The sequence below is a fragment of the Homo sapiens genome, chromosome 5 (assembly GCF_000001405.40).
Source record: "Homo sapiens chromosome 5, GRCh38.p14 Primary Assembly".
NCBI lineage: Eukaryota > Metazoa > Chordata > Mammalia > Primates > Hominidae > Homo > Homo sapiens.
The window spans coordinates 42950119-42976673 of record NC_000005.10 but is presented as its reverse complement, the minus strand read 5'-3'; the positions used below and the strand labels follow the sequence as shown (position 1 = coordinate 42976673).

The 26555-nt window shown below is 42.6% G+C and overlaps 1 long non-coding RNA gene and 1 pseudogene across 2 annotated transcripts, besides 10 other annotated features; both read right to left on the bottom strand.

The window, feature by feature from the left end:
• Positions 3240 to 4105, bottom strand: PRELID3BP7 (PRELI domain containing 3B pseudogene 7; annotated as a pseudogene).
• LOC105374745 (uncharacterized) lies at positions 10704 to 25785 on the bottom strand. 2 transcript variants are annotated; one of them, XR_925964.3, is made up of 3 exons: positions 17602 to 25785; positions 16162 to 16350; positions 10704 to 12363 (listed from the first exon to the last, which is right to left on the bottom strand). It is a non-coding gene; the product is annotated as an uncharacterized LOC105374745 (long non-coding RNA). The 2 variants fall into 2 exon arrangements; XR_007058752.1 differs by having other exon boundaries at positions 10704 to 16350.
• Positions 24822 to 25091: an enhancer, noted in NCBI's record as "active region_22515". NCBI's record gives its function as "activates an Ori minimal core promoter by ATAC-STARR-seq in GM12878 lymphoblastoid cells {active_cell/tissue: GM12878}" and the evidence as "EXISTENCE:reporter gene assay evidence [ECO:0000049][PMID:35858748]".
• Positions 24822 to 26251: a biological region, named in NCBI's record as "BRD4-independent group 4 enhancer GRCh37_chr5:42950525-42951724".
• Positions 24871 to 25392: an enhancer, noted in NCBI's record as "H3K27ac-H3K4me1 hESC enhancer chr5:42951384-42951905 (GRCh37/hg19 assembly coordinates)". NCBI's record gives its function as "activates a minimal SCP1, AML or CMV promoter by ChIP-STARR-seq in primed H9 embryonic stem cells {active_cell/tissue: H9 hESC(primed)}" and the evidence as "EXISTENCE:reporter gene assay evidence [ECO:0000049][PMID:30033119]".
• Positions 25052 to 26251: an enhancer, noted in NCBI's record as "BRD4-independent group 4 enhancer chr5:42950525-42951724 (GRCh37/hg19 assembly coordinates)". NCBI's record gives its function as "activates an origin of replication core promoter dependent on BRD2, P300/CBP, MED14 and CDK7 cofactors, and independent of BRD4, by STARR-seq in HCT116 cells {active_cell/tissue: HCT116}" and the evidence as "EXISTENCE:reporter gene assay evidence [ECO:0000049][PMID:35650434]".
• Positions 25393 to 25915: an enhancer, noted in NCBI's record as "H3K27ac-H3K4me1 hESC enhancer chr5:42950861-42951383 (GRCh37/hg19 assembly coordinates)". NCBI's record gives its function as "activates a minimal SCP1, AML or CMV promoter by ChIP-STARR-seq in primed H9 embryonic stem cells {active_cell/tissue: H9 hESC(primed)}" and the evidence as "EXISTENCE:reporter gene assay evidence [ECO:0000049][PMID:30033119]".
• Positions 25502 to 25601: a silencer, noted in NCBI's record as "silent region_15987". NCBI's record gives its function as "represses an Ori minimal core promoter by ATAC-STARR-seq in GM12878 lymphoblastoid cells {active_cell/tissue: GM12878}" and the evidence as "EXISTENCE:reporter gene assay evidence [ECO:0000049][PMID:35858748]".
• Positions 25713 to 26007: an enhancer, noted in NCBI's record as "tiled region #1008; HepG2 Activating non-DNase unmatched - State 20:ReprD, and K562 Activating DNase unmatched - State 8:EnhW". NCBI's record gives its function as "activates a minimal TATA promoter and a strong SV40 promoter by Sharpr-MPRA in HepG2 and K562 cells {active_cell/tissue: HepG2 | K562}" and the evidence as "EXISTENCE:reporter gene assay evidence [ECO:0000049][PMID:27701403]".
• Positions 25771 to 25915: an enhancer, noted in NCBI's record as "145 bp enhancer 35 fragment used in the MPRA reporter construct; PK_construct_3791". NCBI's record gives its function as "activates an SV40 promoter by MPRA in HepG2 and K562 cells {active_cell/tissue: HepG2 | K562}" and the evidence as "EXISTENCE:reporter gene assay evidence [ECO:0000049][PMID:23512712]".
• Positions 25838 to 25848: a transcriptional cis regulatory region, noted in NCBI's record as "NFE2L2 motif; MPRA enhancer 35 activity is reduced when this motif is scrambled". NCBI's record gives its function as "necessary for full MPRA enhancer 35 activity {active_cell/tissue: HepG2 | K562}" and the evidence as "EXISTENCE:site-directed mutagenesis evidence [ECO:0005528][PMID:23512712]".
• Positions 25892 to 25951: an enhancer, noted in NCBI's record as "active region_22514". NCBI's record gives its function as "activates an Ori minimal core promoter by ATAC-STARR-seq in GM12878 lymphoblastoid cells {active_cell/tissue: GM12878}" and the evidence as "EXISTENCE:reporter gene assay evidence [ECO:0000049][PMID:35858748]".

Below are 26555 nucleotides of genomic sequence, written 5' to 3'. Positions count from 1 at the left end.
TTTGTGTGTATGGATACGTCTTTCTGTGTATGTTACATGTATTATCTGTTATGTCTACAATGGCACCACATTGGTTTATAAGTAAATGAGTGCTCATAAATTTAGTAAGAAAGCCCAAATGCTTTTCAAATTTATGTGAATTTAGTAATCTTTAATAATAAGCTTGCCTTAAAATTATTGACAAAATAAAAATAGAAATGTCTTCAGAATTGTAGGCATACATTTTTGTCTGGGTTTACTAATTAGATGAGTTTTATATTTGCCTTTGCTAGATATTTTAAAGAGCAAGGATTTGACATGAGTATTATAAGACCGTAAACTCAACCAAAAACAGAATCCTCTTTCTTTGAATGACTTTTTTGATAAATAAGACAAATTTAACATTGTTGGTTCCATAAGAACAGCTAATTTTTCTGAATTATCAGCAAAAATGCCTATGTGTTTAAGATTTTTGCTTAGGCAAACACCTGATATTCACAGGCTATGCAAATGGTTAATAAAAAAAAAAAAAACTTTGAGCGATGATTGTCTAATGTCTCAGTTCTAACAACTAATCTAGATAAACTGCTACAAATGAATAAATTGAGTAAATATAAATAAAATCAATGCTTGTAGGTTAATTTTTTTTTCTCTCTCTTTTTTGAGACGGAGTCTTGCTCTGTCGCCCAAGCTGGAGTGCAGTGGCGCGATCTCGGCTCACTGCAAGCTCTGCCTCCCGGGTTCACGCCATTCTCCTGCCTCAGCCTCTGGAGTAGCTGGGACTACAGGTGCGTGCTACCATGCCCGGCTAATCTTTTGTATTTTTTAGTGGAGACGGGGTTTCACCATGTTAGCCAGGATGGTCTCGATCTCCTGACCTCGTGATCCGCCCGCCTCGGCCTCCCAAAGTGCTGGGATTACAGGCGTGAGCCACCGCGCCCCGCCAGTGATCTTTTAATGTAACTTAAAATCTTAAAATTATTTCAGATACCATTGAATGTCTGAGTTATTTCCGAGTTAAAAAGAATTATGACATAGGGCATTGGTCACACTTTTAAACCAATTAATGTGAAATAAAGTCTATGCTACGAGTTAAGCATTAGTGAATCTCAGTGAGCTGAATAAGGTCCAGTCTGGAAGGTAATCAAGGAATAAACAGGGATGGACCCAATGGATGCCTGTATACTTGCCCCCATATAGGCGAGCAATGAATGTGAAACAATACCACCTGCCAGAGGGACACTCTGAAATAACCCAAATAATCCAGGGTGTTAGAGTGAGACACTATCTCAAAATTAATTAATCAATTATTTTATTACAATAAATTAAAATAAATTTATAAATAAATAATTTAGTGTCAACATCTAGTTTATGGGTGTTAAATTGGAACCCATAAACTAGATGTTAACATTAATTAATTTATTAATTAAGGTATTTGAGGGAAGAGGAGAGTTTAAAAGTCCCAAATGAATGTATTCTCTATGGCACATTTTTATATCACAGTCTTCTGAAATGCCTGCAGAAAGAAATGAGTCTTAGTTGCTGTAGGTCCTGAGATGGGCAGAGATTATGAGAGCGAGCATCACATAGACTTGGTGCTATGGACAGAATTGTGTTCCCCAAAATTCATGATAATTTCGTTTAGCTAATCCACAAGGTGATGGTATTTAGAGATGGGGCCTTTGGGAGACAATTGTGTTTAGATGAGGTTATGAGGGTTGGGCTTTCATAATGGGATTAGTGCCCTTATGAGAAGGGGAAGAGATATTATGTCTCTCTCATTCTCTACCCTTCTCCATCTCTCACTTTCTCCCCCTTTCTGTCTCTCCCTCTTTCTCTGTGCCATGTGAGAACACAGCTACAACATGGCGATCAGCAAGACAGGAAGACAGCCCTCACCAGGAGCTGAATCACTGGCGCTTTGATCTTGCACTTCCAGATCCTGGGCAAGACTCACCAGGGCAGACTTCTGTAGCTGCCTGGAATTGTCTGATCTGGAATTAATGCCCTGGAATGCTGTGGTTGTTAACTCAGAAGGCACAAAGCTAAGAATCTTCCTCTGGTCCTCTTTAATCTGCCCCCACTCCTTGTTATTTGTCTTATTTTGATTTTCAAGTAAGGAATTTATTTTCCCAGTTAACATAACCAACCAGCCCATGCCACAGTATATTAAACCAAGAAGTACAAATCCAAGAAAGGTAACGTCTTTATTGGGTTGCAAAACTTTGGGAAATCAATGTAGTACTTTTTATTACAATAAAAGCATATTTTTATTAGAGACATATATTATTCTAGTGATAATTTTCGCTCCAAATATATTTAAGTACTAAACCAAAACACTGGTTTTTAATAATGGTTTATAGCAGAGCAAGTTATTTTATACGAATTAAGGTCTTTGAAAACTACACAGTTTCTCCTTTTAAATTGAATTCCCTCATGCAAGCTGTTGAAGTTTACAGCAACAGGACAATTGAGTGTATATAAGAGATGGCTCTGCTTTGTTCTGGCATGGGACCAAAGCCAGGTAGGGGTGCAATGTGTGAAAAGTTTTAAAATTCTATCTTGATTCAACATCAATGCCACCTTCCAAGCACTTTAAAAAAATGTTAAAATGTTGTTTATACACCATTGGTGAGTGTAAATTATTTCAAACTTAGTGAAAAACAGTGTGGTAATTCCTCAAAGACCAAAAAACAGAAATATCATTTGACCCAGAAATCCCATTACTGGGTATTACCCAAAGGAATATAAATTGTCATATCATAAAGACACATGCATGTGTATGTTCATTGCAGCACTATTCACAATAGCAAAGACATGGAATCATCCAAAATGCTCATCAAAGGTAGACTGGATGAACAAAATATAGTACATATACACTATGGAATACAATGCAGCCATTAAAAAGAACAAGATCATGTCTTTTTCAGGAACATAGACAGAACTGGAGGCCATTATCCTTACCAAACTAATGCAGGAACAGAAAAGCAAATACCGTATGTCCTCACTTATAAGCTGGAGCTGAATAATGAGAACACATGGACACAAAGAGGGGAATACCAGACACTGGAGCCATTGAAGGTGGATGGTGAAAGGAGGGAGAGGATTGGGAAAAATAACTAATGGGCAGGAGACGTCATAATTGGGTGATAAAATAATGTGTACACAAACCCCTATGACAAAAGTTTATCTATTTAACAAAGCTGTACATGCACCCTGAAGTTAAAATGAACGTTAAAAAGGATTGCTTTCAAAAAATCGTTATATTTTCACATAAATACTGGAATCCTCAAAATCAGACAGTCATTTCAAACAACACGAATTTCAGGTGATCGCTTTTATTTAGAAGCCATGCATCTCTTTGTTTTGATGTAATGTCACATTCTTATATCAGCCTACTTTAAAAAATTCTACTTAAAAGATATTTATATTTTTAAAATAAATATATTGCCCGCTTGGAGAGACGTGGAGTACTTGACGTTGTCTTCACATTTTCATTATCAATTCTCTACAAATGCTGCCGCCGCCGCTGCCATCGAAGTTCTTATGCTTCCTCTTGGCGGAAGCTGTCAATTCTTCAGTCTTAACATGTAATTTATGTATGACCCATTTCAGTGCTTCTCGGCCTTTATTAGCATTTGAAGGTATAGTTCTTGCCATCAGTCCTTCAAGGTAACTGCTGAGGCTACCTCTCTTCAGTGATTATGGCTTCTTGAGTCAAAATAGTTTTTTGGGGGGTCCCGATGATGTGGTTTGTGTATAAATCTCTCATCTACTGAAATCATATTTGTAAGTGAAATATTAGTAGATTTAAGTTCCATTGTTTTCTCTACAGGATTAACTACAGAATATTCTAGTATATATGTTTTGCGTTTTGCTGCACCAGTAAGAGTTTTGCAGTTCCCACTGTGCGGAGAAGTCTGTGCAACTCTCTGGAGGGATCTATACGTCTGTTTAACACGTCAACCCACACCACGCTCGGGTTCACAGGGCTTGGATATTTCTGCATTGCAGCTGTTGTAACAGTTTCCCACGGGTGCTAAAAACGTGCTCTGAAGCCCATATCTTGATGCTGCAGACAGTCCGAGAAATGTCTGGGGACCGCAGGGGAAAATGAGGCAAAGAGGTTACATCTGCCCCACGCCATAAAGAGCACTGCAGCCAGCCTCGCAGTATGCGGGCACCATCGGCCTCACCCGAGGGACTTCCCAAACCCCTCTTTCACCCCTTATGACAAGGTAACCTTTAAACCATTTAAAGCAGGGATCCCCAACTCCCCAGGCAGCGAACCTTAGCGGTCGGTGGCTGTTAGGAAACCTGCGACACAGCAGGAGGTGACTGGCAGGCAAGCGAGTACTACCGCCTGAGCTCCGCTTATCTGACGTGACTTAGATTCTCATAAGAGCGCCAAACCTATCGTGAACTGCGCATGCGAGGGATCTACCTTGCGCACTTCTCCTGAGAATCTGACGCCTGATGATCTGAGGTAGGACAGCTTCATCGCCAAATCATCCCTGTCTCCCCAACCCCCCACCCATGGAAAAATTGCCTTCCCCAAAACCAGTCTCTGGTGTCACAAAGGTTAGGGGCCCCTGATGTAAAGAACACTGTTAATGTCTATTTCCTGGCTTCATCTGGAGGGCCACAGTCAGTTTTGAAGCAACTCCAGCAAGTGATCCAACCAGCTGTCCCCTCCCACTGTGTTAGTATCCACAGCTCCTTAAAGGCCCCCTGGAATTTAGACTAAAGCAAGATTGCGCCACTACACGGAAGCCTGGGCGACCCAGCCAGCAAGACACCATCAAAAAAAAAAAAAAAAAAAAAAAAAAAAAAAAGGCCTCTGAGCTGGGTCCCTGCCCCTTTTCTGTCTGCTTCAGGCCCATCTATACCAATCTTGATTTACCAGCTTGAAATCAATTCCACAGGTGGAGAATAGGGAAAGGCTTTATTCAATACATGTACAGTTTCAATGGAAGAGCCATAGCAATTTTGAGTACATCTACAAGAACAGTTCTTTAGCTCATTGCATAATATTCATTACATGAAGAGAGTTTCTCTAAATGAAAAATGTTTAGGACATTCAGGAGAGGAAGAACCAATTAAGGAATGATCTCCACAGCAGAGACCTCCAGGCTCTTGTGGGTGCAGGGCACAGTTCCAGTGTAAAAGTCCGCAGGGACAGAATGAGGGTCCCCACTGGTGTGCCTCAGGCTCCTTCCAGCACAGTGTTCCTTGAAGCGGGTAGTGTCGCAGGCTTGCAGAAAGGCTGGGGTTCCTCTCGTTTCCGGGTTCCTTCCTGATGGAACCCTGGGTTTTCAGCAGCTTCCGGGGGCGGCCTGAACTGCAGAGGGCGCCATGGGCTTGTGTCCTTCCACCTCCGCAGGCGCTGGCATCTCCAGGCTGCATCAGGCAGCTTTGGACTTCGCCGTCGGTAGCATTTGCGTCTTCTTGAGGTGACTGGAGCCCGTCTGTGGTTTCAGCCTTTGATTCCTCGACATGGGAGTCTCGAGGCCGTTTTTGGCCCCTCTCATCTCCGGGAAGGGCTCCGTGCCCGGTGGAGGCGCGGTGCAGCCGCCAGCTCCCAGCAGAGCTCCCGTAGAGCTGATGGCATTGGCAGGAGTGGCGGCTCAGCACAGGGAAGTTATCCAGTGCCCAGGCCCAGGCTTGCTCTCGGTTCAGGTCCCGTGGTATATGGGGCTCTGGACCTGCTTGCCTCCAAGACAGCTCTTCCAAGGTTGATGGATGGAACTCCATAGCTTCAGCCTTCCAAGACTTGACCAGGCCTAGCTAGTCTAGGAATAGAGCAAATGGCTCAATCCATCACTGACTGTGGGTTTTTATAGCATTCTGTCTTGTACAGGAAGTCGGACATAATCCAATCATGTGGGGATTAACACTTATTTGCCTTGCTCATTGCTTCAGACCGTGAAAGGATTATGGTGAAAATGTTATCATTCCGGAAGGTCCTATTGAAAGTCCTTGGGTTTTTATTGGATCAGGTGGTAACAGGGTGGGGGGGCGGGGGTGAGAAAATGGGTCCAGTTATTGGCAGTTTTTTTTCATTTCAATAAGAAATTGGCAGTTTTCAATATTTCACGATTAGATGAGATGTTAGGTGTACACCTCTTACAGATATGTTTTATCAGATTAAGGGAATTCTCTTTTTCAATTTGCTATGATGATTTTTATATTAATAATAAAACAGGGTTGAATTTTCAAATAGCTTTTTTTTGTATCTTCTGAGATTATCATATATTTTTTCTACTGCTAATGTGGACAATAACAAATTGATTTTCAAATGACAGACCCAAGTTGACTTCCTGATAAACTCCATTAGATTATGATGCATTTTTAAAAAGTATATTACTGGATTCAGAATGCTAACATATTATGATTTTGCCCTGTAATTTTGAGAAATATTCCCTGATGAAAAAACTGAGGAGGGGGCACTAGAGTGATGAATGAAATGTGCATATAAATACTTAAACTTGTTGATATTTAAAAAGGCCTTTCTATGTATGTGGTTGTCCCACTCAGCCAAAGACTTTTCAAATACAGGGGCCATGTTTCATTTGCAGCGTGTCAACAGTCAAGATTGGCCTCAGTCAATTCTATTTTTGAAGAGACTCTGAAACAAATTTTAATACAGAGTGAATTTTTGAGTATTCCAACAGCAGGGGAAAAGCACTGAGGTATATGAGGTGAGCAGAGAGACATATTTTATTTGCCTGGCTTTCCCCTCAAAATATTACTGAAATAAACACTTGTGTGAGATTGCTTTATTAAAGAGTGCTGTCCTTAGAAAGTGGGAGTGAGAAGAAAGAGGAGAGGGGCAGGGATGAGCATATTCAATGCTATGCTTCCTAGTTGCTCAATCTTGTATCAAGCATGACCAGAGGTGACTTTATTATCAAACTTATAAAGTTTAACTTTAAGGCAAACTTCCAAAGAGTTTGTAAAACTTTTGTCCTAAAGCATTTTTGTAATTCTCTCAAAGAAAATCCTCTACTACCTGTATGAATACTGATTCCACAAATTTGAATCCACTCTGAACACCACTGATTTTTCGATCTTATGAACCATCTTCTGAGAGGCCGTATGAATAACTGCTTCTCAGTACGGTCCACTTAGGAGGAATAAAAGGATGGAATATATCCACTGTTGGAGAGATAACACAATTCTCCCAACAAAAGACCCCAGTGTACCAAATAGAAGAGAGAGGGAATACTAGTATTGAGTTTGCATTTAACATGCATGTAAGGTAGCCTGAGAACTACAAAGTCATCTCATACATTTTCAGCAGAGCAGGGGGAAGCAGGATGAATTCCTTTCTTTCTTCAAATAGAGAACACCTTACAATAGCATCTTGCTATCTGCTGAAAGACCCTCAGCTCATTGTAGGGGTACTTTCAAGAAATGTCTACATATTATTTGTCGCATAACCTTGGATAAATTGCTACATTGTAAAAACTTGAGATTCAGCTTTACCTTTAGAAGGACTAATCTAAATTCCAATGGCTCAACTACGGATTAAGACTCACCATATTAAATGTGATGTTACTGTTGCATTTTTATATGGTGTGTAGGAAAAGAAACAAAACACTCTCAAATAGTATAAGCATAAAAAGATTTATTATGGGATAAAAGTCACTTAAAATCTGATAGAAAGGTGTAGACACAGATTTTAGGCTGAATGTCAGGGAATGATTTTCTGAGCCACATTACAAACTGGTTCCCTAAAAGAAGTTGCTGTCAGAAATTAGTAAACACTGTAATTAAACAATTCAATGAAAACTAAATCAAAACTTCCATCTTTATCTAATTACGTATCATGTTTGCCTAGAAGCCAGTAGGCCATCTTGTCAGAAGACTACAAGATTTTTTAGTCTAGATACCTCCCACTGAGGTCACTGATAGCCGTTATTTGCTTTCTCTCTGTCCATGGCTGTAATAAACTTTTTAAAAAATTATCATTATTATTATTTTTTATTACGCTTTAAGTTTTAGGGTACATGTGCACAACGTGCAGTTAGTTACATATGTATACATATGCCATGTTGGTGTGCTGTACCCATTAACTCGTCATTTAACATTAGGTGTATTTCCTAATGCTATCCCTCCCCCTTCCTCCCACCCCACAACAGGCCCCCGTGTGTGATGTTCCCCTTCCTGTGTCCATGTGTTCTCATTGTCCATTTCCCACCTATGAGTGAGAACATGCGGTGTTTGGTTTTTTGTCCTTGTGATAGTTTGCTGAGAATGATGGTTTCCAGCTTCATCCATGTCCCTACAAAGGACATGAACTCATCATTTTTTATGGCTGCATAATATTCCATGGTGTATATGTGCCACATTTTCTTAATCCAGTCTATCATTGTTGGACATTTGGGTTGGTTCCAAGTCTTTGCTATTGTGAATAGTGCTGCAATGAACATACGTGTGCATGTGTCTTTATAGCAGCATAATTTATCATCCTTTGGGTACATACCCAGTAATGGGATTGCTGGGTCAAATGGTATTTCTAGTTCTAGATCCTTGAGGAATTGCCACACCATCTTCCACAATGGTTGAACCAGTTTACAGTCCCACCAACAGTGTAAAAGTGTTCCTATTTCTCCACATCCTCTCCAGCACCTGTTGTTTCCTGACTTTTTAATGATCGCCATTCTAACTGGTGTGAGATGGTATCTCATTGTGGTTTTGATTTGCATTTGTCTGGTGGCCAGTGATGATGAGCATTTTTTCATGTGTCTTTTGTCTGCATAAACGTCTTCTTTTGAGAAGTGTCTGTTCATATCCTTTGCCCACTTTTTGATGGGGTTTTTTTTTCTTGTAAATTCGTTGGAGTTCATTGTAGATTCTGGATATTAGCCCTTTGTCAGATGAGTAGATTGCAAAAATTTTCTCCCATTCTGTAGGTTGCCTGTTCACTCTGATGGTAATAAACTTTTTTTTTTTTTTTTTTTTTTTTTTAATGGAGTCTTGCCTTGTCACCCAGGCTGGACTGCAATAGCTATCTCGGCTCACTGCAACCTCTGCCTTCAGGTTTCAAGCGATTCTCCTGCCTCAGCTTCCTAAGTAGCTGGGATTACAGGTGACTGCCACCATGCCTGGCTAATTTTTTGTATCTTTAGTAGAGACCGGGTTTCACCATGTTGGCCAGGCTGGTCTCAAACTCCTGACCTTGTGATCTGCCCGCCTTGGCCTCCCAAAGTGCTGGGATTACAGGTGTGAGCCACTGCGCCTGGCCAACTTTTTTTTTTTTTTTTTTTTTTTTTTAATTTTAGAGACTGGGCCTCTCACTCTGTAGCTCAGGCTACAATGCAGTGGTACCATAATAGCTCACTTCAGCCTCCAACTCCTGGGCTCAAGCAATCCTTTTGCCTCAGCGTCCTGAGTGGCTGGCATTACAGGTGGACACCACCACATCCAGGTAATTAAAAACTTTTTTTGCGTGTGTAGAGATGGGGTTTCACCATGTTTCTTGGGCTGGTTTTGGGATTCTAGCCTCAAGTGATCCTCCTGCCTTAGCTTCCCAAAGTGCTGGGATAACTGGTGTGAGCCACTATGCCCAGCCCATACTAAAGTTGTTCTAGTCTTAGAATCTTTGTAATTTATATTCTCTCATGATGGTAACTCCACCTTCAGATTTTTTTTTTTTTTTTTTTTTTTTTGAGACAGGGTCTTGCTCTCTTGCCCAGGCTGGAGTGCAGTGGTGTGATCTTGACTCTCTGCAACCTCCACTTCCCATATTCAAATGATTCTCCCACCTCAGCCATTGAGTAGCTGGGATTATAGGTGCGGGCCACCATGCCCAGCTGATTTATTTGTATTTTTAGTAGAGATGAATTTTCATCATGTTTGCCAGGCTGGTGTCAAACTCCTGGCCTCAATGATCTGCCCACCTTGGCCTCCCAAAGTGCTAGGATTATAGGTGAGCACTGCACCTGGCCCGGATTTTTTTTTTCTTTGCTTTGTTCGTTGCATTATTCCTATCAAAGTGGAAGTATCTCTGATAATTCTGTTTTTACTACACTAGCTAATATAGCATCCTCCTAGTTACCTTTCCATCTAACTTGCGTTAGGTTTCTTGATAGCATTTATCACATAAACACTGTCTTATTTATTTGTTGTCATGCTTCCTGCTTTATTTTTTTTCAGCCCCTGATTGTGTCAAACACTTTATGGCCAAGTCCATTTCTGCTTGTTGATCACTTATGTCTGGAACTTTGATCACTTTGTAGCACAATATAGACACTTACTATCTGTTAATGAAGAGACAATGTATTAAAAGGCCGGGTGTGGTGGCTCATGCCTGTAATCCCAGCACTTTGAGAGGCTGAGGTGGCAGGATTGCTTGAACTCAGGAGTTTGAAACCAGCCTGGGTAACATAGGGAGATTCCATCTCTGCAAAAATTTTAAAAATTAGCTGGGTGTGTGGTGTGCACCTGTAGTCTCAGCTACTTGGGAGGCTGAGGTGGGAGGATTGTTTGAGCCTAGGAGACTGAGGCTGAAGTGAACAGTGATGCCACCCCACTGCAGACCGGGTGACAGACCGAGAACCCATCTCATTAAAAATAAAAGTGAAAGAAAAAGAAAGAGTAGTCCTCAGAGCTCTATAACTGATTATAAACCACCTTAAGAAAGGATCAAAGTAAAACAATGATTGTGGATGACAAAAGAATTAGAACAGCCATGGTTAAAGACACAATTGACAAGGAAATTTGGTTGTATCTACGGCACATAACAATTTAATATAATAATCATAATTAGTTCTGATAACATATTCTAAGACATATCAGAATCACAAGAATCTCATACAATTTTGGAACACATACTAATAACACATTTATATAAATACAAGCCAAAAAAGTTTACACATCATTTCATATTTGATAACGAAGATTTTATTATACCAAGTAAGCCAAATATGTCTCTTTGGATTTCAGGGGATGTAATGTCAAAAAAATTAGTGAGACCAAAGCCCTGAATTTAGATTTAGATTTTGGAAAGTTTGTCAAACATCAAAGGTTGAAAACACAATATCACAAAATAGCATCACAGGTCATTGTAAAATAAGTCATTCATTTAGTCAAAGTGGTAACTCAAATATTTTAAAAACAAAAAGGCAAAAACTTTTACTCTTTGAGACTTACTTTCCCAAACAATAAAACCTAATAAAGACAGGATGAAGTCAATTAAATTTACAGACAAATCTATTAAATTTTAATAATCTTGAGTGTAAGATATAATTTTTGTAAACCTTCTCATAACCTTTCATAATTTTTAAGTAAGGAATGTGTTAATGCTCCAAGAAAACATTGTTAATCTGACACAGGGACCCACATGCTTGTCTTGCATCAGTGTTCCTTTGACATTAATGTTTAATTTATAGGCTGGCCACGGTGGCTCATAGCTGTAAAATCAGCACTTTGGAAGGCCTAGGCAGGCGGATATCTTGAGTTCAGGAGTTTGAGACCAGCTTGGGCAACATGGTGAAACCTTGTCTCTATAAAAATACAAAAATTAGCCAGGCATGGTGGTGCACCCCTGTAGTCCCTGCTACTTGGGAGGCTGAGGTGCCAGGAATCTTGCCAGGCAGAGGTTGCAGTGAGCCAGGATAATGCCACTGCACTCCAGCCCAGATGACATAGCTGGACTGTCTCAAAACAACAACAAATGCAACTGTTTAATTTATAGAGAAACTCTGAATTAATTTTATCTCTTAAAATGGATCCTTACAAGCTCACACACCCACTTCTTCTGCAATAGTCCCTGGGACTAGAGGGGTTGAATAGTTTTAATTTCTGGACCCATGTCTTATGACTGCAGCTTATTCTGATTTTCATCTTCTCCTAGGTCTGAAGATGAGGCTTCAATTGCTGTCAATGTTTAAGATTTAGCCAGAGTTGGTGACTTTTTTAGATCCAGGAGTCAAACCTGTGTGACTTAGTAGCACAAGGAGTTTAAAAGAAATACAGAAAGTTACATGGATATAATAACCTTAATTTTTACAAATCTTCCCAAAGAAGAAGTGTGGTGGGGAGGTTGGGGAGAAGAGGTTGAGGGAGGAAGCAGGTCACAGTTGAATTCTTGGCTGTTCCAGGATAGCTGGCACAAGTTTGGGGGCCACACAAGAAATAGAAAGTGAGAGGACAGGGCCTAGAATATACTGAGCTTAGGGCTTGCAGCGTCTGGGGCCTTGGGGCCTCTTCTGCAGAACCCTAGGCCTCTGGCACATGGGGAAGAAAGTGCTGCGCTATCGCTTGTGTCCAGGAAAACCAGGAACTCTTGGACTCAGGAGCCACGAGCTTTTGCAATTTTAGACTCTTCTGGCCCTGGGTGTTCCACATAGGTTAGGAACCTGGCTGGTGACATTAATCCTAGAAGCAGATTGCATATGAAAACAGAATTAATGACATTAACATCAAGTTCTATCATCTCATGTGAAAGCTATCCAGAGACAAATAGTTTGTCTCAGGGGATGAAAAGAAAAATTAGTACTGGGCCTATGAAGAGAAAGCTGTTCTGGGGGACCCTGGTTTATAGAAAGTTTATCATTTCCCCAAGTCAGATTGCTACTCCTGAGCAGAGACTGGAATTCTGTTCTGCTGGGAGAAAAACGCTTATGGGTGACTATCTGTAAATGAACATTTGGGATTTTAGTGAAGAGAATGCAAGAGCGGGTGCCCAGTTCTCTCTCTCTCTCTCTGTAAAATACACACAAAATTTACCATCTTAACCATTAAGTGTACAGTTCATAATGCTTTGCAACCATTGTCATCATCCATCTCCACAACTCTTTGTGTCTTCTAAAAGTGAAACTCTGTATCCTTTAAAGAATAACTCCCTACTTTCCTCTCCCCCATGCCAGGCAACCACCTTTCTGCATTGTGTCTATGATGTTGACTACCCTAAGTACCCCATGTAAGTGGAATCATACAGTATTTGTCTTCTTGTGCCTGGCTTATTTCATTTAGTATAATGTCCCTTAGGTTCATCTGTGATGTAGCATATTAGCATTTCCTTCTTTTTAAAGGCTGACTGTCTATATGTACCATGTCTTGCTTATCCTTTCATGTGTGAATGGACACTTGAGTTGCTTCCTCATCTTTGCTATTATGCGTAATGCTGCTATGAACTTGGGTGTACAAATATCTTCCTGAGACTCTGCTTTTAATTATTTTGAGTATATGTCCAGAAGTGAAATTGCTGGGTCATATGGTAATTCTATTTTTAATTTGTTGAGGAACTTTCTGTTTTCTACATTGGCTGTACCAATTTACATGCTTACAACAGTGCATACATAGGGGTTCCAAACTCCTTATATCCTTGCCAACTCTTATTATCTTTTTTTTTTTTGATAGTAGCCATCCTAGTGGATGTGCAGTGGTACCTGTATCTCACTGTAGTTTTGATTTGCATTTCCCTAAGAATTAGTGATGCTGGACATATTTTTTTCATGTGCTTATTGGCCATTTGTATGTCTTCTTTGGAGAAATGTCTATTTAAGTCCTCTGCCCATTTTTGAAATGGGTTGTTTGTTTTTTAATGATGAGTTTTAGAAAGTGTTAATTTATTCTGGATAGCAATCCTTCATCAGACATATGTTTAAAAACATTTTTTCCCATTGTAGAATTGTATTCAAACTCTATCAGTGGTTATTGGCAAGCAGTCTATTATCAGTGCATTCAGGGCTATTCATTCTTTCTCTACTCCCTCACCACACCCCATTGATCAGTTATTGTTTCAGAAACCAGAAAGTAAGAGGCAAGGGGAAAAGTACACAGGGGAATTTCTGGCAATTTTTCATCTTTAATGATTTTTCTCTTCCCCCCCCCACCATTTTTTTTAAACATGTGTTCCATTAGGGTCTTAACGCCTGCCAAAAAACATTTCTCTCTCTCTCTCTCTCTCTCTCAAGACGGAGTCTTGCTCTGTCACCAGGCTGGAGTGCAGTGGCACCATCTTGGCTCACTGCAACCTCCGCCTCCCTGGTTCAAGTGATTCTCCTGCCTTAGCCTCCAGAGTAGCTGGGATTACAGGTGTGCACCACCACGCCAAGCTAATTTTGTATTTGTATATGGTCTTGATCTCTTGACCTCGTGATCCACCCGCCTTGGCCTTCCAAAGTGCTGGGATTACAGGCATGAGCCACGGTGCCTGGCCGAACATTTCTGTCTTAAATGTATTTTTCTGACAACCCTCTTCCTGTCTGTTGTCCTATCTCTCAGACCTTAGAATGAGATCTTAGGTAAGGAGGTCTTACTAATTAACTGCACTGTTACTGTTCATTTTTTTTTGCTTTTGAAAACTAGGTCAGACGAAATTCAAGCTATTTAGAGAGAAGTACCACAGTTTCTCTCACCCCTACTTCACAAGTTGGTAACAATTATGAGACCACAAGTTGGTGACAACTATGAGAAAAATGATAAAACCAGAAAACCAGTGTAGTTAAATAAAAGCACATCAGTGCCTACAACATGCAACAAACTCATCAGTCCCTCAAGTGGTCCCTGTTTCATAAGCAAACACGAACTGGAGGTATCAGAATTGAGGATGAAATGGCAGAAGTATCATCCCGTGATTAAACATGTGAACACTAGCAATGCTCTTACAATTTACTATGAAATGACTGATGATTATTTTCTGGATATGATACAGCCTCAGAACAGTGAGGGAGGCACAGAGAATGTTGGTGACAGGAAAAGATGGAAAGGGTGAGGTGGATATCTTAGTTAATAAAGAGGTGGGGTGAAAGGAGTTTAGAAAGTAGCTTCCAGAGAAGAAAGTCTGAGCTTTCACGCACTACAGAACTAACACTGGGGAAAACTTAGCCCCCAGAATTGCTGGAAAGGAGTAATTAGAATAAAATCCTAGTTAATATTTATTATTTTAAATGGTGCTAGACTATGCTTAAGGAAGGATACCCATTAACCTCACTGATATAATGAGTACCGCAATTATATCTGGTTTTACTAACAATGGGAATGAAACACAAGGATTAAACTAACTTCTGAAAGTCAAAGAGGTGAGAAATTTGAACCACAGCAGGATCACGCCAGAATCCTAACATTTAAACCACCAGCCTACAACAGGCTAGGTATCTGATTTACCATGTCTGATTTCACCTTTGTCCCAGAACTCACTCCCATTCCAAGACTGGGATCCCCAGACCACAGAGGCACCTGTGACTTCCTTAGACTTCCAGGAGACACTGGATAGGAGGCTTAACCTTGTGTGTGGTTTTTCTGGAGTGGGAGGGAGGGGGTGGGAAAAGGAGGAGGGTTTCAGAAAACACTGGTGGTGATGACAGAACAATCTGAAGATGCTAGTAGAGACCCTTAACACACTCTAATAGAAAATGTCTTAGGCCTGCCAAAAGAACATTTTTCTCTTAAATGTATATTTCTGACGTCTTTCTTCCTGTCTGTTGTCCTATCTCCCAACCTTAGAATAAGATCTTAGGGAAGGAGGTCTTGCTAATTAACTGCCCTCTTATTGCTCATCTTTTTGGTTTTGAAAAGTAGGTCAGACAGGGCTGGGCGCCACGGCTAACACCTGTAATCCCAGCACTTTGGGGGGCTGAGGCGGGTGGATCACCTGAGGTCAGGAGTTCGAGACCAGCCTGACCAACATGGAGAAACCGTGTGTCTACTAAAAAATACAAAATTAGCCAGGCACGGTGGTACATGCCTGTAATCCCAGCTACTCAGGAGGCTGAGGCAGGAGAATCTCTTGAACTGGGGAGGTGGAGGTTGCAGTGAGCTGAGGTCATGCCATTGCACTCCAGCCTGGGCAACAAAGAAACACTGAAAAAAAAAAAAAAAGAAAAAAAAAGAAAACGAGGTCAGACAAAATTCGAGCTCTTTAGAGAGAAGAACCACAGTTTCTCTCACCCCTAGTACACAAATTGTGACAACTATGAGCCCACCCTGATTAAAGAAAAAGGTATAATTTGACAAGTCTGGAGAAACATAGATAACACTGGTTACTGCATAGAATCAGTAAATATGCTGACTCTAACTTGAAGCACTGTTTTGCACTATAAGTAGAACTAACTCTATAGAGGTTCAGTTTCTCCAGAGGATGATATGGTACTCTCAGCAATGATAACTTTACTTTAGCAATGATAACTAGGAACTTATGCTGCAGTGTAGGCTCTCTTTAAGTTGACTTACCTGGACATTTTCATAAGGAATCTCAAATTAGACTTTTAAAAGCGTCCAGATGCTAGGAAACCAAACCAGGATCTTGCTATCATACTTTGCCTGCAATACCTAGAGATTTGGATGAATTCTCCTTTTGTTAAGATTCTCCAAATATCCTGATGTTCCTGGTCCTGTCAGGAAGTGACAATTCTTACTCACCTGTAAGGAAAGGAACCCTTTTAAACCAGGACAATTTTTCATGTCTGAGTGTGTTTCTGTTCCTAAAAACCATGAAGAAAATAAAACAGTGATATTACATTCAACATGGTAACTCTAAATCCTTGTTCTACCAGTAGAAATATAATATCTCTAGGGATTAAGCCCAGTCTCCAGAATTTACCCAAGACCATAGGAAAATAACATCCAGATGTTTTTAAAAAGCACCCACAGGATGAGCTGAGGGTCTCTCAGTATACAGGAAACTGTCACAAAGTGTGCCTTCTTTTCTTTTGAAGCAGTAAAAGAAGTTCTCATAATTCCTGAGGCTCTGCTCAAAACACATGAGATATGGCCCAGCTTTATAGTTGTTGTCATGCTACCTTACATGCATGTAAATCTGTTAAGGCTAACTCAATTAGTGTTCTCTCTCTCCACTGGGTAGTCAGGGGCCTTTTCGTGGTCAGGATTGTTTTATTTCTCCCACAGTGGATATATTCTTCTCCTTTCTTTCCTTCTAAATGGATTATTCTTAGAAGCAGTCATAGTCAGGGCTTCCCAGAAGATGGTTCCATGTGATCAAGCAAACAGTTATGTTCAGGGTGGGTTCAGTTCGTAGAACCTAATGTTCACACAAGTAGTAGAGGATTCTCTTTTTAAAAAAGATGGTCGGGTGCCGTGGCTCACGCCAGTAATCCCAGCACTTTGGGAGGCCAAGGCAGGTGGATCTCCTGAGGTCAGGAGTTCAAAACCAGCCTGACCAATGTGGCAAAACTCTGTCTCTACTAAAAATACAAAAATTAGCCGGGCATGGTGGTAGGCATCTGTAATCCCAGCTACTGGGAGGCTGAGGCACAAGAATCACTTGAATCTGGGAGGTGGAGGTTGCAGTGAGCCGAGATCATGCCACTGCACTCCAGCCTGGGCGACAGAGTGAGACTCCAACTCAAAAAAAAAAAAAAGAATAAAAATTTACAGTACAAAATTACAGACCTGTTCGAAGGACTCCTAAAAGCTAAGCTTCCTTACCTGCATGGTTAATTTGCCTGTGGCCCTGCATGATACCCCACATGGGCCAATGAGGTAGCACAGCATTGAATTGCCCCTTACCCCTTCCTGTTCCACTTCCCTCTCTTAAATTCCACTTTCTTAAAAAAAAAAACTACTTTTGAATTAAAAAGTCTCACATAAGTTTTCACTTTAGCTAATGCTTCCTAGGGAAGCCAGACCAATAAAATATGCTGCTCTGCTTACCTTATATGCTTTGACTTTTTTCCTCTGCTGTCTGAATCCCCAATAATTCAATCTGTATTGAAAAGATAATGAGGATGCCTACAAATGTGGAATGATTCAGATTAATATTGACCTTTGAACAGCCTGAATGAGACCTCTTGCCAGAAATTAAAAAGTCTGCTTGAGTGGGGCAGAAAAATACATTAAAAGGCCTTTTTAAGTATCAAGCAAGTATGAATATTTGTAAGCCCATTTTGTTTATTACTCTTGTCAATTTCCCATTTTTGGTCAGCCAATGTCTCTCATGATCACAGATGTTAAAAATTATGAATAATGCATTAGCATACTGAATCCAGCAATATATATATTTTAAAAATACATCATGACCTAGTGGGATTTACTCCAGGAACTCGCATTTGAAAATCAATCAATATTATTCACCGCATTAACAGTAAAAAGAAATAAAACCACATGATAATATCAGTAGATGTAGAAAACCTTTTTAAAAGTTAACCTCTCTTCATTATTAAAACAAAAAATATCTTAACAAATTAGAAAAAGTGGATTCCCTTATTTATTTAAAAGTGTATCTATAAGAGACGTACGCTTAATATTCCACTTTGAAAGAAAGAAAAATGTTTTACCCCAAAATATATTTCTTTGACATATTTTGAGATGGCTGTCAGAGGCAGCAAAAGAAGTAGCCCTGCAATGCCATCGTGCATTGATATATACAGGCCTTCTCTTTTCCAGATGTAGGAAGGATTAATGAGAGTCTGACACCTTTAAAGGTCTTAAGGAAACAGTTCTCTGAGGGATGCTATCTGTGAGGTTTCATGTACATAACAAGACTACCATTGCTAGCAGACCTCATCTTCTCTCCCTCCTATAACCAGTTCTGCCATGATCCACTTCTTTCTGTAATCTCAAGATGATATATAAGCTCCTGCACCTCACTGGGGGTTTGGGCAATTATACATTTTGTATGTGTTTTCTCCTGTTAATCTTCTGTTTTTGCAAGTCGATTTTACAACAAACTTTCAGAGTGCTAAGAGAAAGATTTCCCTTGGCCCCTAGAAATTTGGTGTTGTAAGCAGGAACCCAAAGGTTGGCTCTTTTGGAAGCCCACAGTTAAGGAAAACCAGGAGCTAATCAGCCAGCCTAAGGATAAGAATTTCTTACCAGTCAGATTCCAGGCCCCTCTCTGTGGAATTTGGTCAAGTAGACAGTAAATATCACTCTGTTCATTTTTCCTGTCCAAAATTTTGACTGATGGGAGAAAAGGATTTGTGTGACCAGTGCTGGTGTATTGACTATGGTGTACTTTCTGGTACTTTGTGGTAAGAATCATATTGTTTCATCCATTTCCTCCTAGAGTAGTCTTTTCTTTGTCTTTCTCTTTCTGTGTTGTTCTGTCATAAAGAGGTGTACAGGTTGAGGTTTTTCTCTCATCTCGTTTTGTTTTGTTTGAGATGGAGTCTTGCTCTGTTGCCCAGCCTGGAGTGGTTTGGTGCGATCTTGGCTCACTGCAACCTCTGCCTCCTGGGTTTAAACAATTCTCCCACCTCAGCCTCTCAAGTAGCTGAGATTACAGCTGCGTGCCACCACGCCTGGCTCATTTTGGTATTTTTAGTAGAAACGGGGTTTCACCATGTTGGCCAGGCTGGTCTCAAACTCCTGACCTCAAGTGATCTGCCCACCTTGGCCTCTCAATGTGCTGGGATTACAGGCGTGAGTGTTTTGTTTTGTTTTTTAAGAGATAGCGTCTTACTCTGTCACCCAGGCTAGAATGCAGTGGTGCAATCAGAGTTCACTGCAACTTCAAACTCCTGGGCTCAAGCCATCCTCCTGCCTTAGCCTCCCCAGCAGCTAAGACTACAGGCACATGCCACCATGCCCAGCTAATCTTTTAAAAATATTTTTATAGAGATGGGTCTCCCTACATGCCCAGGCTGCTCATGAACTCCTGGCCTCTCAAAGCACTAGGATTACAGGTGTGAGCCACCATGCCTGGCCTGAAATAATCAATACGCCAGAGGTATATTGATATATTGGCATACTGGGGTGGTGTATTCTGGTGTCTTACAGTCGCATTTTGAGGGAGTGTGTCCAGAATAATCAACTCAGAATTTAGGTTGCTATCTTGAACTGGAGTGTTAGGGAGAAGGGACACAGTAAAATCACACGTACCCCTATGTTAGAAGATGGGCCTTAAATTTACACTAAAAGTTGATTTAACACTGAATGGTAAAATTACATTTATCTATTCAGCCACAGGCAGAGCTGTACAAACTCATACTTCCCTAAGTGAGGGTGTGTATCTACAAAATGGAAATGAGAAGCAAGCCCAGTACAAAGCATGTGCTTGCCGCAGTTTTCAGTTGAGAATGAAATCAGATAAAGCACAAAATACAGTTGGCACAGTGTCTGTCACAAATAATGATTTTTGTGCCATGAACCACTCAATATGTGAGGAGAAGTAAAAGATGAGGCAAGAAGTGGAAAGTATTTATGATAAATTGAACCTTATAAAAAACCAGAGGAGTGAGGAATATGATTTTGCCACTTGCCCAACCATTTCAATGTATTGAACTACATTGTGAAAAAACAAATACAATCATATAGAAGTCAGGAGTTCAAGACCAGACTGGACAAAATGGCGAGACCCCCTCTCTACTAAAAATACAAAAAAATTGCTGAGCATTGTGGCTGGTGCCTGTAATCCCCGCTACTTGGGAGGCTGAGGCTGTAGCGGGAAGTCAGGGACCCCAAAAGGAGGGACCGGCCGAAGCCATGGCAGAAGAACGTGGATTGTGAAGATTTCATGGACGTTTATTAGTTCCCCAAATTAATACTTTTATAATTTCTTATGCCTATCTTTACTGCAATCTCTAAACATAAATTGTGAAGATTTCAAGGACACTTATCTCTTCTCCAATCAATGCCCTTGTGATTTCCTATGCCTGTCTTTACTTTAATCTCTTAATCCTGTCATCTCGTAAGCCGAGGAGAATGTATGTCGCCTCAGGACCCTGTGATAATTGCATTAACTCCACAAATTGTAGAGCATGTGTGTTTAAACAGTATGAAATCTGGGCACCTTGAAAAAAGAACAGTATAACAGCAATGTTTAGGAAACAAGAGAGATAACCTTAAACTCTGACCGCTGGGAAAAAGCCAGGCGGAACAGAGCCATATTTCTCTTCTTTCAAAAGCAAATGGAAGAAATATTGCTGAATTCTTTTTCTCAGCAAGGAACATCCCTGGGAAAGAGAATACGCACCTGAGGGTGGGTCTATAGATGCCCCCCTTGGGTGTGGCCGTCTTCTATGGTCGAGACTGTAGGGATGAAATAAACCCCAGTCTCCCATAGTGCTCCCAGGCTTATCAGGAAGGGGAAATTCCCGCCTAATAAATTTTGGTCAGACCAGTTGCTCTCAAAACCCTGTCTCCTGATAAGATGTTATCAATGACAATGGTGCCCAAAACTTCATTAGCAATTTGAATTTCACCCCGGTCCTGTGGTCCTGTGATCTCGCCCTGCCTCCATTTGCCTTGTGATATTCTATTACCTTGTGAAGTATGTGATCTTTGTGACCCACACCCTATTCGTACACTCCCTCCCCTTTCGAAAGTCCCTAATAAAAACTTGCTGGTTTTACAGCTTGTGGGGCATCACAGAACCTACTGACATGTGAGGTCTCCCCTAGACACCCAGCTTTAGAATTTCTCTCTTTTGTACTCTGTCCCTTTATTTCTCAAACCGGCCGATGCTTAGGGAAAATAGAAAAGAACCTATGTGACTATTGGGGCAGGTTCCCAGATATGAGGCCTCAGAATAGCTTGAACCCGGGAGGCAGAGGCTGCAGTGAGCTGAGATCACACCACTGCACTCCAGCCTGGGCAACAGAGCCAGACTCTGTCTCTAAATAAATAAATAAATAAATATTAAAAAATTACAACTCCAATCTCCATGCTATTTCTAAGAGGTAAATAAACTAAAATGGCACTTAAGGTTTAAAATAAAGCAGTGGATATCTGAATTTAATCAATTCTAGAGTAAATTTTTTCTCACTTTAGTGTCTCTGAAACAGGTATATATTTTTAAATGGGTAGCCTCCTACCATTATGATACTTTAATTTGCAGCATTTTCTCCTGTTAATGGTATACTAATAATGTCTCAGGTGACCCCTTCTTAAAGAGTTCCTAATCTCGGCTGTATTTTTATTTCATTTTATTTTTTGAGACAAAGTCTCAGTCTGTCACCCAGGCTGGAGTGCAGTGGTGCCGTGAAGGATCATCGTTCACTGCAGCCTGGACCTCCTGGGCTCAAGAGATCCTCCCACGTCAGCCTCCTTGGTAGCTGGGACTACAGGCACCCGCGACTGCATCCCGCTAATTTTTTAAATTTTTTGTAGTGGCACGGTCTTGCTATGTGCTTCGGATGGTCCTGAACGCGTGGGTTAAAGTGATCCTCCCGCCTGGGCCTCCCAAAGTGCTGGGATTACAGGAGTGAACTCTGGCTCCCGCTCAGCTTTGTCACTAAAATGCTCTGCTGGGTGGAAATGAGGAGTGCGAAGCAGTGGGTGGGGCTTTTCTTTTACAAAGGCTCCGCCTGGGCTGTTCCTTCTGGTGAAGTGCTTGTAACTTTTTAGGTGGAAATGATGCCATTTTTCCTTTGTTCTCCCGTTCCTAAGACCAGGGATGAGCGTTCCCGCATCATCTCCCAACCTCACCCTGATGATACCATGCAACAAACTCCATCCTTTTCTGGTTGAACCTGGGCAGAGGACAGGTCCAGAGGAGCCTAGAAAAGGGCCTTCACAGGTCAGGAGATCCAATATGAAGTCGCAATTCTCACCCACTCCCAAGGCATTTGCCTTGATCTTCCCCTCCCACCATACTATGTCTGCTAGCTAGTTTCTCCCTGGTATTTGAGGATCCTCCAATTGCCTCGTGGTCTTAGGATCATCGTTAACTGCATCCTGGACCTCCTGGGCTCAAGAGATCCTCCCACCTCAGCCTCCCTGGTACCTGGGACTACAGGCACCCGCGACCGCATCCGGCTAATTTTTAAATTTTTTGTAGTGACAGGAACGCTCCCGGTAGGGTCTGTAGGTCTCTTGTGAGGATTTCATGCGGATGTGTAGATTTTTCGGGAAATGTGAAAGCTTAGGGAAAAGGGACGTTTTTCTTCCGGGCAGAGGCAGTTCCATATTTCCTATGGGGAAGGAGTTTTTAGCTCCACTCTGACTGAAAAGTAGGAAAAAGAGGGAATTCAAGCGCTTGAAAATTCGCCTGCTTTGCATTTCCCGAAAGACAGAAAACGTCAGTGATCCATTTCACAGATCAAGGGTACAGAAAAGTGTAGAGCAGTTTGAGATGTTTATTGGGCTTGGAGAGGTAGCGGACTTTTGCCATCATTCCCACCTTCTGAGCTGGAGTCTTGCCGTCCATTTTTCTCTCCTGCTCTCTTTCATCTACTATCCCCAAATATCAAGGATATCAGACAGTTAATCATCAGAATAAAGGAGCGGTTCCCACAGAGTTACATCCCGCAGAAGAGGTACGGGACCGAGAGAGTGGGGGGTCAGGCCTGAAGTCGAGGTCAAAAAACGCTGTGCCTTTCATTATCCTCGGAAACCTAGGCCGACTTTCCAGTTTGGAAGGGAAGAGTTGTCCGCCCCTTCTGTAGGATCCTGAGAGCTCTGGACGGGGAGGAGACTCTGGGACCGAGGGGTGGCCTGGGAGAGCCCCGCCACGGAGGTTGGAAGGGTGTTTCCTGCGTAGGCAGCTGTTGGCAATCAGAATGGTTTTTACTTTGTTCCTGCAACCAGCCCCATCCGCTTGGTTCTGGGCCCCTAAACTGCCTCCTCTTCTCATGCACTATGCACTGGGTTGAACGCAGCAACAATACAGACTTCCCTCCCAGCACGGTGGCTCATGCCTGTGATTCTAGCGCTTTGTGATATTAGTCCGCCCAGGCGGACGGACTGCTTGAGCTCAGGAGTTCGAGAACAGCCTAGGCAACAAAACGAGACCCTACAAAAACTACAAAAAATTAGTCGGGTGTGGTGTCGCGCACCTGTGGTCCCAGCTGCTCCACAGGCTGAGGCGGGAGGATAGCTGGAGCCCAAGAAGGCGAGGCTGCACTGAGCAGTGATCACGCCACTGCACCAGCCTGGGCAACAGAGCAAGATACTGTTAAAAAAAAAAATAAAGAAAAAAGAAATAAAGAGAAAAAGAAAAAAAGGAAAGAGAGAAAGAAAGGAAAGAAGAAAGAAAAAGAAAAAGAAAGAATGAAAGAAAGAAAAAGAAAGAAAGAAATAAAAGAAAGAAAAGAAAGAAGCAGAAATAAAAATATAACAGACTTCCCTAAGCCCGAAAAACAGCCTTGGGAATCGAGAGTGGGTAGAGGCCACAGCACTTTGGTAGCACGGAGCGCACCATGGGTCCATCGCTGCACGGCTCCTTTCCCGGCGCCAGCGGTTTCTTTCTTTTTTTTGAGACGGAGCTCACTCTGTCTCCCAGGCTGGAGTGCAGTGGCGCGATCTTGGCTCACTGCAACCTCTGCCTCCTGAGTTCAATCGATTCTTCTGCCTCAGCCTCCGGAGTAGCTGGGATTACAGGTGCCTGCCACCACAACCGGCTAATCTTTTGTATTTTAGTAGAGATGGGGTTTCACCTTGTTGGCCAGGCTAGTCTCCTGATCTCAAGTAATGCGCCCACCTCGGCCTCCCAAACTGCAAGGATCATAGGCGTGAGCCGCCGCGGTCGGCCGTGGCGCCGGCGGTTTCTCATTGCCATTGCTACTCCTTTGTCAGCGACAGCGGATGCTCTCTGGCCGCAACATTCTTTGCGCCAAAAGTTGTTTTTTTTGCAGCAGCGCAGGCATTTGCTGCGGGCAAGTGCTCGCCGGGTCCCATTGCCGCTGGTTCCCTTCCACACAACTTGTGAGTGTCCCCCCCACTCCCACAATCTAATCGGTTTAGGGAGCCAGAGGTTTCCCCGCGGCACTCTGCCTGTGGCGTCCGGCGAAGCCGGGGAATCCGCTGGAGGCAAGGCTGGTTTCACTGAGTCCGGCGTTTCTCCGTACCCGTACTGCTCTGCGCTCTGTGCTGGCCCAGGCGGGTCTCAGCACCGCTAGGTGCTGGGTAAAGGCATTGTCTGTTGTGGGTAGGATAGCCGTTAAGGGAGGACTAAAAGTTTCTAGCAGAGCCCAACTGGCGGTTTCTTGATCATATGAACACTAGCTCCGCGGAGCTGGATGTACTTCAGTGGCAGTGCATGTTTCTCTGTGGCATCCCCACAGCTGCCGTCCAAACTGCAGTGTTTCGCTGGCACCACTGCCACGTGGGTCACTTTCTTCAGTGGCTGCGCGGTTCCCTGCATCGAAGTCGCTTGTTTCTGATCCGCGCTTTCTCCCGGATGGCCGACCAGACGGTTTTCTGCTAGTTGTGCTACACATAGTTTCCTGGTCTCCGTGCGCCGCTTTCTCCATCCGAGACCCTCTAGTGCCGGTGTCACGGTCGCAGCACCTGGGGTTTCCATTGGCTGTTTTGCCTGTGGCGCGGAGTAGGCGGTTTTTCTGCCACAGCACTTGTCGTACGGAGTTTCTCGGTGGCCGAACCTCTCTTTTTTCTCAGAGTCGATGGTTTCTTGGTGACGGCGCCATTGGCTGCGTCAAAACGAATGTTGTCCTTGACAACCCCGCCGGCTGGCGTCACTCGCAGGCTCCCGGCACCACCATTTCGCCAGCCGAGGTCTCTCGGTCGCGGCACCGCTCGTTGGTCTGCGCCTCCATTTTCTCAGTGGCCGCAGCACCCAGGTTGCAGATGTGAGGGATTCGGTGTCGCAGCTGCCCCAGTTGCGCCCAGTTGCGCCTGGAGTTACCGGGCGGCGGCGGCGCTGGGCTGGGGGAGCCAGCCGCTCCTCGGGGCCGGTGGCAGGGGAGCTGCCGGGGCGCCTTCTCTTCCCAGCGCCGCCGCACGGACTGCGGCTCGGCCTCCAGAACCCAGTCCGGTGGCTGCGCTGCTGGGGTTTCTGTGACAGGACCCCACGGTTTCGGGCGTCGTTGGCTTCTTGGTCCTAGGAAGTTTCTATTTCGCGGTGCCTGCGATTTCTACCCCTTGTTCAAGTCGTGGAATAGTCACAATGTGATTTCTCAGCCCAATCAAGTTCCGACTTAGGACAAACACCGGTCTGGCCCTGGCTGCGATTTCTAGGTAGTAGGAAGTTACTGTTTCATCGTAACGAGGCTGAGTCACCCTGTGACTCACATCTCAGCAATTCCGGGTTTCCTGTAGCCTCGGAATTCTAATCCTAACAACCCCGGGTTAGCCCTGCCTCAAGTTCCTTAGTCATTGCAAGTTTCTTACTAGTAAGCTCTGCTTTAGCTGCTCAGGAGACGTTTAACTCCTGTAGAAATCTGGGTACCAGCGAATGCGGTTTTTTTTTTTTTTTTTGCTTAGCGATGACCAGTTTAGCAGGGCCTGGGAGCTCTTATACTAAGTTTGGTTTCACAATAGCGGGTCCCGCCTTAGCTAGGCCTGTGTTTTTTAAACTCCCCTGGAAGTCAGGAAATGCAGGCAAACGGGATTTTTCAGTTTTGCCAAGCCCCAGTTGACAATAGCAAGTCCCGCCGAAAGCGACTTTTTTTCCTACCATTTTATAGTCTAAGCTAAACAGGTTTAACCATGACTGTTATTTATTTATTTATTTAATTTGGTAGGAAATTTAGACTTAGGTGTAACATGTACTGGTTTAGATCGGATAGGGATATCCTAATCGTAGGATTGCATTACAAACATTTGTAATTTCTTCTTTGTAGGAATGGTTGTCAGCAATTTTTGCTTATTTTTTAATTGTCTTTTTGTGTCTTGCTCTGAGAACGACATTACCGATGTGCTTGCCTTTCATTTCTACTTGCATTTTAGGCTTCTATTATTTTTAAATTGTATTTCTATTTAAATGT